Source organism: Homo sapiens, chromosome 18 (genome assembly GCF_000001405.40).
Source record: "Homo sapiens chromosome 18, GRCh38.p14 Primary Assembly".
In the NCBI taxonomy this organism is placed as follows: domain Eukaryota; kingdom Metazoa; phylum Chordata; class Mammalia; order Primates; family Hominidae; genus Homo; species Homo sapiens.
The window spans coordinates 7,124,730-7,136,347 of NC_000018.10; the positions used below are offsets into that span (position 1 = coordinate 7,124,730).

Here is an 11,618-nt window from a genome sequence, read left to right on the forward strand (position 1 = left end):
TATGATATCATCTTCATCACCATGGGTTAGGAAGAGTGTTGTACAGTTGCCATAAGACGATAATGTTTGGCTCTAATGGAGCTTTTCAACACATGGTTACAAAAGGCAGTTGGACATTTGCAAAGAGATGAACTATTATCTGTCTTCTTATTTATGTAGAAAGAAGCGCTAGAGACCCAAAGGGGAGACGTGAGCTAGGAAAGGGCATCTCCCTAAAGCCAAGGAGTGGATGGAGGTTACAAGAAAATAGCAACCAGCTATATCAAAAACTAAAAAGACTTTTAAAAATTGGTTTTGGCAGGGATTTGGTCCTTAAGGAACTTGGTGAGTGTGTTTTTCTTTTATAGAGGAAGAGGAAGCCAAATTGGAGGGGTCTAGAAGACAGCTGTTCATACTGACATGTAGACAGCATTTGTCCCCAGGACTCTGCAGGACATCCCTGCCTGCTGGGTATCTGTAACAATGCAGCCTTTCAACAGGAAAGTCAGACTTCGAAAGCGAAGTTTGCAACGGTAGCAGCAAATACGAATTTTTTATTTTATTTTTTAATTATTTTTATTTTTTTATTTTTTTGAGATGGAGTCTCACTGTGTCACCCAGGCCGGAGTACAGTGGCGCTATCTTGGCTCACTGCAACCTCTGCTTCCCAGGTTCAAGTGATTCTCCTGCCTCAGCCTCCCGAGTAGCTGGGACTACAGGCGTGCACCACTGTGCTCAGCTAATTTTTGTATATATTTTTAGAGATGGGGTTTCATTATGTTGGTCCAGGTCTCGAACTCCTGACCTCGTGATCCACACGCCTCAGCATCCCAAAGCCACTGGGCCTAGCCCCCGAAAATAAGAACTTTATAGGTGGACACCAATTATCTAGAAAGTCAGAAATACATGTTTATGAAGATACTTGTCATTGTGTCACTTGTATTACACCGCTCACTATTATTGGAGCTTCCTTCAGTTTTGTTTTGTGTTTTGTGTTTTGAGATGGAGTCTCGCTCTGTCGCCCAGGCTGGAGTGCAGTGGCATGATCTTGGCTCACTGCAAGCTCTGCCTCCTGGGTTCACACCATTCTCCTGCCTCAGCCTCCCGAGTAGCTGTGATTACAGGTGACTGCCACCACGCCCGGCTAGTTTTTTGTATTTTTAGTAGAGATGGGGTTTCACCATGTTAGCCGGGATAGTCTCAATCTCCTGACCTCGTGATCCGCCTGCGTCAGCCTCCCACAGTGCTGGGATTACAGGCATGAGCCACCGTGCCCAGCCTTTTTTTTTTCTTGAGACGGAGTCTTGCTCTGTCACTCAGGCTGGAGTGCAGTGGCTCAATCTCGGCTCACTGCAACCTCCACCTCCCAGTTCAAATGATCCTCCCACTTCAGCCTCCCGAGTAGCTAGGACTACAGGCATGCACCACACCCAGCTAATTTTTGTATTTTTAGTAGAGATGGGTTTTCATCATATTGGCCAGGCTGGTCTTGAACTCCTGACCTTGTGATCCGCCCACCTCGGCCTCCCAAAGTGCTGGGATTACAGGCATGAGCCACAGCGCCCAACCTTCCTTCAGCTTTTTACTAATTTCTTCTACTATTTGTTCCCGATGGAGGCAAATATTCTACAATATTTTACACTTTAGGTTCTCTAAGAGCTTCTTTTCTTCGTGTTTGACTCTCGATCCGCACTTGTGTCATTTTATGACATATCTCCAGACTCATCATCAAGAAGCCAAATTTGAGTTAAATAACTCGTAAACCTGGCATTGGCTTAGTGGCAAGGACAATATTCAAATTTTAGGAAGAAGATGTTACTAAGTAATAGGATCAGTTGCCTGAAAAGACAATATTCTTTCATCAGAAAGCATTTTACAGGATCTCATTTAATCTTGAGAAGCAACACATTGGATATGTGAAGGTCAGAAGACTGAAATTAAAATTGTAGCTCTAGAAATTGTTAGCGATTTGACGTTTCAACAGGTCAGTTAGCTTTTCTGAGTCTCAGTTTCCCTCCTCTGTAAAATGTAAATAACCGCATCTTTTGCTAGAAATGGTAGTCACTGGCTGGACGCAGTGGCTCACGCCTGTAATCCCAGCATTTTGGGAGGCCTAGATGGGCGGATTGCCTGGGCGCACCCTGGGTAACATGCTAGAACCCTGTCTCTACTAAAATACAAAAAATTAGCCACGCATTGTGGTAGGCGCCTCCATTCCCACCTACTTGGGAGGCTAATGCATGAGAATTGTTTGAACCCGGGAGGCAGAGGTTGCAGTGAGCCGAGATTGCACCACTGCACTCCAGCCTGAGCGACAGAGCAAGACTCTATCTCAAAAAAAAAAAGAAGTAGTAATGACAGGATAATAACAGTTATCATGTATTGAATCTTCAAATCATACTTTACACCGATTGTCTCACTTACTCTGCTTAAATCTCCAACTCCACCATGGTGCAGGTGGAGTTGGAGATTTAAGCAGAATATGGGAGAAGATGGACTGCACCATGGCCACTGAAGGCGGCTAGAGAATCATGCTGACCCATCTCATTTCAACTCCTGCCCACGGTCATTAAGGGGACTTTAGAATTGCCAGGCAATCACACTCCCTACCCTAAACTGTTCACTTTCCCACTGAGCAGCCCCATCCTTTCAGAGCTCAGCTGCGTTTCCCACTATGTGTGATGCCCAGCCCTTCCTTTCTCCACCTTTGAATTCCTGGTCTTTCTTCAGCACCCAGGTCAAACGTCTCCTCCCCCAGGAAGCCTTCTATGATTGTTCCAGAACTCACCAACCACTTGCTCCCTTGTGGACCCGACGCCCTCTGTAATTCAATCTCTGTTGCAACTGTTGTTGATTTTATAAACATACTTTTCCCATTAAAGAAGACACATATGCTCCTTCTAAGTTTATTTAGTTTTCCCACTCCCCCACGGTGTCTAAAACTTGACAAATATTTGTTGATTTTGACAATAATGTAGTTTGGTTGCAGTTGTGTGTTTACTGTGTTCCAGGCGTTACGCTAAGCATGTTTCATAAACTAGCTCCAAATGGTATAAAAGTCCTAAGGTGGCAGAAAGTAATGCAACCTGCTAAGTATGAACAGTTCTAAGTCACAAGAACAAAAGCTGCCTCTGGCCACCTTAAACAAAGGCAAGTTAATCAGAGGGATGTCACAGCAGGGAGAATGGGGATCATAGAATCCATGGGAACTTGGAGAGGAGGGCTTGGAAAACAGGAACCAAGAGAGTCACAGATGCTATGCAGCAGAATCCACGGCCAAGGTCACCCACCAAAAACAGTCTAGCTGAAGCAGACTGCAGCACCCGGAGCTGTCTGACCTTCAAATGTTCTCTGCATCTTTGTTTCACCAGCTCAAGGCTCAGAGCCTGGAGAGCCAGTCACTGATTGGCTGAGCTTATATTGTGTGCCCCAGGTAGGCAGTGAAGAAGCCTTGACCTTCCCTTCTCTTCCACAGTAGGAGCTGGGAGTGAGAAAGAGGAAAGCAAGGTTTTACCCATGGGGAATCCTCCCCCAGACAGAGAAGGGGGTGCTGAGAGGAGGAGGGTGCTGCTGGCCAACAAGCAAGATGGCACCTGTCTTCCACAGGTGGACAGGAAGAGCTCCACGAAGGGGGTGAAAAGCCAGCAGTCAATGCAGGATAAGTCTAATTTTGAAAGGCACAACAAAACAGAAAAAGTTGTGGGGAATCACTTTGGCAGGGGCATAGAGACAACACTGGAAATGTTTGGATGGAGCAGATCCATAGGCAGGCTGTATGAGATGCAGATCTGATGGGCCCCCACCCTGGGGCTGTTGGGCTCTCCTGTCTGGCTTCTTGTCTGTTATTGGAGTTTCTCCTCCTTCCTACACTTATGGGCTTAGGTGAAACACCACGCCACACTGTGTACAATCTGGCACCCTAAGTAGCAATAGAGTGGGACAGATGATGAAACCCAGAAGTGGGGGTCAGTTTACTCCCCATGGGATGAATTTTGACCAATGAGAAATAGAAGAGGGAGAGAGCTAGACTGAAGTTCTCCTTTTTCTCTCTACTATGCACCTCTGCCAGGCCCAGTTTCTCCTAGCAGCCCACTTGGACAAGTCCAGGGTGCAGACACGCCTGCCAAGTCCATGCTGGGTTTCTTCCCTTGAAGCAGCATTAGGCAGTCACACATCACTCTAGGTTGCTCCCCATCTCTCTCCTCATTTTCTTCTTCGTTGCCATGGATTTGCATGTCTCAAAGCGTATACCATCAGCATTTTCATCTTTGCCTCAGGATCTGTCTATGGAGATATTGGACTAAGAAAGGACCCTTTGCATGGAGCAATTAGTGAGATGTGGGAGATATGTTTGAATCCTACAGGTAAACCATATGTGTAGGGAGAAACCAGGGGTAAGGAATTTGAGCTTGAGGCAGAGGCAATGTGAAATTATTATCAATTCTTTTTTTTTTTTTTTTTTTTGAGGAGTCTCACTGTATCACCCAGGCTGGAGTACAGTGGCATGATCTTGGCTCTGCCTCCCAAGTTCAAGCAATTCTCCTGTCTTAGCCTCCTGAGTAGCTGGGACTACAGGCACAGGCCACCATGCCTGGCTACTTTTGTTTTTTTTTTTGAGACGGAGTCTTGCTCTGTCACCCAGGCTGGAGTGCAGCGGCGCAATCTCGGCTCACTGCAAGCTCCGTCTTCCGGGTTCACGCCATTCTCCTGCCTCAGCCTCCCAAGTAGCTGGGAATACAGGCACCCGCCACCACGCCCGGCTAATTTTTTTGTATTTTTTTTAGTAGATACGGGGTTTCACCATGTTAGCCAGGATGGTCTTGATCTCCTGACCTCATGATCCGCCCGCCTCCGCCTCCCAAAGTGCTGGGATTACAGGTGTCAGCCACCGCGCCCAGCCACCCAGCTACTTTTTGTATTTTTAGTAGAGACCGGGTTTCACCATGTTGGCCAGGCTGGTCTCAAACTCCTGACCTGAAGTGATCCACCTGCCTCAGCCTCCCAAAGTGCTGGGATTACAGGTGTGAGCCACCACACCCAGCCTATTATCAATTCTTAAGCACAAGAACAAGACAAAAATCTTTTTTTTTTAATTTTTTTTAATGAAAATCTACCTGCTAGCAGTAAACAGAAAGAGCAGAATGAAGAGAAATGGAAGTGGCCATGTGGGTGGAGGTAGGGGACACAGAAGAGGAATGTGGAGCGAGAATGAAGAAGGAGGAATCAGATGAGATTTCAAACGAAGAAACATGACTTAGTGACTAATTGGATGCAGACGATCAAGGAAATTGTTGAGTTAAAATTTTCTTTCTGAGAATGAAAAAAAGAAGGGTTAGATGAAAGATGAACCGACGGGAGAGGAAATCATGAGCACAGTTTGATTGTTGTCATTTCGATGTTACCAGATAGTCAAATGGCAATGTTAGAAAAACAGCTGGAAATTCAAGACAGATGGAGATTGTGGCTGAGGCCAGAGGACTGAGTCTTCTTTGCATGATCTCAAAGTCACTGATATGCAGGAGCTCACCAAGTTGAGACTGTGCAGAGAAAGGTCATGGAGAACTGAAGTGAAAGCAAGGCAAGACAAGAGGGCTCCTAGAAGATGGTGGAACCTTCCCTGAAAAGGGGATCCATGATTGACCCAGTGAACGTGAGAGCTGGAGTAGGGACATTTGGGGAAGGAGAAAGAACAAAGGAGGAAATAATGGTCATGATGAGGACGCCAGAAAGTTAGAGAAGATAACTGACATGCCCTTTGCTGAGCCATTACTATGCCAGCTGCTTAATCCTCGTATGCAAGACAATTTTTTTTTTTTTTTTTTGAGACGGAGTTTCACTCTTGTTGCCAGGCTGGAATGCAATGGCTCAATCTCAGCTCACTGCAACCTCTGCTTCCTGGGTTCAAGCGATTCTCCTGCCTCAGCCTCCCAAGTAGCTGGGATTACAGGCTCCGCCACCATGCCCAGCTAATTTTTTTGTATTTTTAGTAGAGTTGGGGTTTCGTCATGTTGGCCATGACGAACTCCCGACCTCAGGTGATCCACCCACCACAACCTCCCAAAGTGCTGGGATTACAGGCGTGAGCCACTGTGCCCAGCTTATGCAAGATAAATATGATTCCCGTTTTATGGGTAAAACCACAGAGATTCACAGAGGCTGGCTAACCTGCTTGAGTTTGCAGAGCTAAAAAGTGTGCTTTCATTTTTGCTGTATCATAAACCAACCCCAAACTTAATGGTTTTGAGCAACAATCATTTATTTTCCTCAAGATGATTCTGTGGGTTGCCAGCTAGATGCGCTCAGTTGGATGCTTCTTCTGTTGGCCCTCCTGAGCTCCTTCACGCATCTGCAGTCAACTCCAGGTTAAGGGATGAGTGATTTAGGGGGAGCCACAGCCCAGATGCATGGAGCTAAAACACAGGAGTCCTCCATCGTCAAAGGAAGCTGATAGATCAAGAATTAGAAATTTAAAACAAAATGAGAATTAGAACAAAATATCAAGAATGGAGAGTAAGTCTATTGAGTGTGGTAGAGAGCAGTTGCTGACAGTACATCATAATGACAATAATTATTAGAGCAAGCAGCTCCTGAGCACATGTAATGTGCCAGAGACTGGGCCCAGGCTTTTGTGCATTGTCTCACTGAATCCCCACAGCAGCCCTAGGAGATAAGGTAGGCTGATTAGCATTGTTTTTCAATGAGGAAACAGGCACCTAATGCCTCTAGTAGCTTAATCAAGATGAATCCAGGCAGAGGGGTGTGGAGATTGGAATTTGGAAAAAGGTTTGATTTAGTGACTGCTGATATGAAGAAGAAACGTTCTACAGGTAAGGTGGGCAGGAACTATGATTCTAAGATGCTAAAGGTTGTAAACATGGATGTTGATGTCGCTAAGAATAATGATGGATAATAAGGTGTAAAATAAAAAAAAAATTCAAACTAAGTCCTGAAATATCTAATGAAATACGGGATGTGAAAATGTTATACAATACTGGGAAAACAGAAAAATTAAAGACCAACCCAGGGGAGGACATAACATGGGGATAGGCTAGGTTATACTGCGGTAACAAACAAGTCCCAAACCTCAGAAGCATAAAACAACAGAGATCTCTTTCTCGATTATTGTGGGTTAGCAGTGGGCTCCGTTCACTATTGTAACTCGGGGATCCCAGCTGATGGAAGCTTCGTTTCAACATATGCTTCCCACTGAGGCAAGTAAAGAAGTAAGTCACACACTGGCTCTTAAAGTTTCTGTTTATATTCCGTAGTCCACGGCAAATCACCTGGTCATACCTAACCTCAAGAAACCATGATAGTGGGGCCCTATTATGTGCCTGTAAGTGGGGGAGAACCAGAAATATTAGGAAAATAGTGCTAACGAGGACCACAGAGAAATTCTTGTAGACTATGCTAGGACAGTGCTGGGAGAAACATGAGAGCTAGAACTCAGGTCTAGGAATTCCCGCTGAACATGGAGAAGAAATGGAGAGCCAGAAAGACAGGGATAGGCAAGATCAAGCCACGCCAGCATCCAAAGCACAATCAGGACTGCTTTCCACAGGGTAGCCATTCAGATGGAGTTTGCGGCAAACAGGGAAGCTTATTATTGGAGCAGCTTGGGGTTCTCTTGAGGACCCCAATTCAGGAGACTCTAATCCGTGCTAGGATGGGGAGGTTCTTTTCCTTCTGCTCCAGACGTCCTCCAAGTGTGTCCTGAGACAATGCATTACCAATTCCAGGTGTGGAATGAGAACTTTACTAGGGGCAAGAAGGGGCCTTAAGAAAGAAGTGAGTCTAGAGTCATGTTATCTGGAGGGCCCAGGTCTCTAGAGCTGAGCCTTTGCCGGGGGCTCTGACGGAGACCATTTACAAAAGCAAATATTTCAGTTGTATCTACACTACACTCATCATTATAATTCTGCGGTAGGTTTCGCTTTTATGTTTCCTGACAACTAAGGACTGCAAGGTTTTCATGTTCTAATGAAAGAAAACATGGACATTTATCTGCAGAGACAAACACTGAAGCCTAAATAATTTCAAGAGTGAATGTATTTGTGGATTATCAGCATAACGGACAATACTTTTAGTTACAGGTTTCCAAGACACAGTGCTATTCAAACAGATTCTCATATTAACCTTCTTTATAGCCCAGGGCACAGCTTTACGTCTTTATTAACTCAGGGAGGGCTTTGAAGAAGAAAAGAGACTGAGATAATGAGGTCAGGCTTGTTTGTTTTTTGATTACCTACATTCCTAAGGTATCTAGGACCTAAAGAATCTAAAAGAATGCACCGATTATTTTTCTATCAGATTGAGTTTCTTAAATATCAGATGTTTCAAGTGAGCTGATACCAGATCTTAATCTGTGCCTTAATTCCTTAAGTACCAATAATGCATCACTAGTAGCAGAGCAGAAGTTATGCATAGCTCTGTAACTCACACGTAAAATGCTAGGGAGAAGCCGGGACCACCCTAGACCCATTGTAGTGAGAACCATCAGTGTAAGGCAGACTTCTTAAATTTCAGTACAGACATTAGAGAAGGAAGCAAAACATATGTAGTGGAGAAAAATAAACATTTCAAGAGCTAAGCAGCATATGCCTTTCCTCTCTGATTTAGGCCAACAATGACCTCCCTTCAAAGCCAGAAGGATAAGCTAAGCAGCCAAGGATTGAAAATAAAATAACCCACATGGAGCAAAGGAAAAGAAGAGTTAAAAGAAGGTCACATACCATATGTGTTGGTCACAGTGTCACAAGTTGTTCCAGGGTAGCTTAATCTACTCTTCCTTAGTTGCCTGCTTGTTGAGCTGGAGGTTTTGTTTGATATGTGACTTCTAATTGAATGGCTATTTTTCATTAACATTCTGCACAGTTTTGGTTCAATAGGTAATTACTACTATGAAAGGCTGGATTTTAATTATGAGATGAAGAGTCCATCATTTCAATAAGGGCATTTGTGTTCTCCAAAGTCTGCATATAGATGACCCAGGGCAGAAGACACTGCTGATTGTAACCCTATCTTCCTTCCAGGCTGTTTTGAGGGAAGACCAGCTTTTTTTCACCCCGGGGGAGTGAATCTTGATAAACTGAAGTTGGTCAAGGTAATTCTATTCTGTTTGCCAGTGATTGGCTCAGATACAAGCTCCTTTTCCTAATCAGCATTATTGAGGTATATTTTATGGAAAAGAAACTGCAGCAATTTTAAGTTTACAGTTTGGTAAGTTTGACAAATGTACACAATTGCAGCCACCCCCATATTCATGATAGAAAACATTTTCCTCACCCTCGAAAAGTTGCCTACTGTCTTTTGTAATCAGTTTCCAGCCACCTATTTCTGGAAACCACTGTCTTTCTTTATGTCACTACAGGTTAGCCCTTTTACATTTTTCATATAGATGGAATTATAGGTGCCTGCATGGGCCCTGGCTCACTCACCGTCCTGCAGGATGCCTTGGCAATGGGAAATCCAGTTATCAGAATTGATTCCAGAAGAGAGAAACTAACAGAACAATAACAATGGAAGAAATTGGGAACATTATCAAAAAGCTAACATCCTGCAAAACTCCAGGCTCAGATGGTGTTACAGGTTAAAAAAAAAAAGTCCTTCATGAAAAAGAAAGATCTCTTTATTTTGAAACAGAGTTTCGCTTTTGCCCAGGCTGGAGTGCAATGGCGCAATCTCGGCTCACCTCCCAGGTTCAAGCGATTCTCCTGCCTCAGCCTCTGGAGTAGCTGGGATTACAGGCATGCACCACCATGCCCGGCTAATTTTGTATTTTTAGTAGAGACGGAGTTTCTCCATGTTGATCAGGCTGGTCTCAAACTCCTGACCTTGTGTGATCCGCCTGTCTCAGCCTCCCAAAGTGCTGGGATTACAGGCGTGAGCCACCGCACCTAGCAAAACTTTTTTTTTTTCTGAGATGGCGTCTCACTCTGTCATCCAGGCTGGAGTGCAATGGCGCGATCTCGGCTCACTGCAACCTCCACTTCCCTGGTTCAAGCAATTCCCCTTCCTCAGCTTCCCGAGTAGCTGGGATTACAGGCGCGCACCACCATGCCTGGCTAAATTTTGTATTTTTAATAGAGACAGGGTTTCCCCCTGTTGGCCAGACTGGTCTTGAACTCCTGACCTCAGGCAATCCACCGGCCTCAGCCTCCCAAAGTGCTGTGATTACAGGCGTGAGCCACTGTGCCCAGCCCCAGAAAGATCTTAAGCAACATGATGGATTCAGAAGCTCATGAAAAGAGGCCACCAATGCTAACTTCTTCAAAACAAGATATATCACCTCATATTATAAATGTTGGTGAAATGAAGCATGACTTGTGTGGCTGCTGTGCAGCCTTCAACACGTAGAAATCACATTTCCCATTCAGAAGGTCCTCTTTCAACAACAGCTGTATGGCATCAAAACCCGGGATGCAATACTTCAGTTGAGAAGGGATGGATTTTGAAACTTGTATCCTGGAATCCTTCCCTAATTGATGCAAAAGACAATTACACTTGCACTTATGTTTGGTCTGTATGAGGATTTATCCTACCTTCTCCACAAGCATGTCAGTGCTCCAGAGTTTGCAACCCGTGTCGTGGTGGCAGTGCTTGCAAGGACAGCAGAAGCAATTTTCACTCCACTGCAAAGAGTTCAGACATTGCTTCAAGACCACAAGCATCATGACAAATTTACCAGCACTTATCAGGCTTTCAAGGCACTGAAATGCCATAGAATTGGAGAGCGTTATCGAGGCTTGCTGCCCATTCTTTTCCAGAATGGACTCAACAATGTCTTGTTTTTCGGCCTTCGAGGTCCCATTAAGGAGCATCTGCCTACCTCAACGACTCACAGTGCTCATTTGGTCAATGATTTTCTCTGTGGAGGTCAGTTGGGTGCCATGCTGGGATTCTTGTTTTTTCTAATTAATGTTGTGAAAACTAGCATACAGTCTCAGCCTAGTGGGGAATTTCAGTCTTTCCCCAAGGTTTTCCAAAAAATCTGGCTGGAACGGGACAGAAAACTGATAAATCTTTTCAGAGGTGCCCATCTGAATTACCACCGGTCCCTTATCTCTTGGGGCATAATCAGTGCAACTTATGAGTTCCTGTTAAAGTTATATGGCAAAAAACATCAGTTAAGTGCCATTTATTAACTGAATAGACCTTCTAAGAAGAATGCAGTCTGGCCTCTTTCTTAATTGGCCAAATATAAGTTGGTGTCATGACTCCAGGCCACAGTGAGTTATGGGCAAAGCTGTTTTCCTCAAGCATCAACAAAACAGAATAAAAGTTTCCAATAGGAAAAATAAATAAATAAATAAATGGAATTATACAGTGTTTTGTCTTTATCTTCTTTTCTTTCACTTTACATAATGCTATTGAGATTCAACCATTCTGATGTGAGAGTCAGTAGTCCATTCTTTTTTATAGCTGAGAAGCTTTCCATTGTATAAGTATACCTCTATTTATTTATCAGTTTAGATGACCCACAGTTTTTGGCTCTTATGCATAAACCTGTTCTGAATTTCAAGTGCAAATCTTTGTGTGAAGCTGGATTTCTGAATTGCATTGTAAGTATATATGAACTCTTTAAGAAGCTGCAGAAGTATTTTCCAAAGTGATATTCCCATCAACAATATAAAATTCCA

The 11,618-nt window shown here is 44.2% G+C and overlaps 1 pseudogene; it reads left to right on the forward strand.

Moving 5' to 3' along the window:
* SLC25A51P2 (SLC25A51 pseudogene 2) lies at positions 9,391 to 11,146 on the forward strand (annotated as a pseudogene).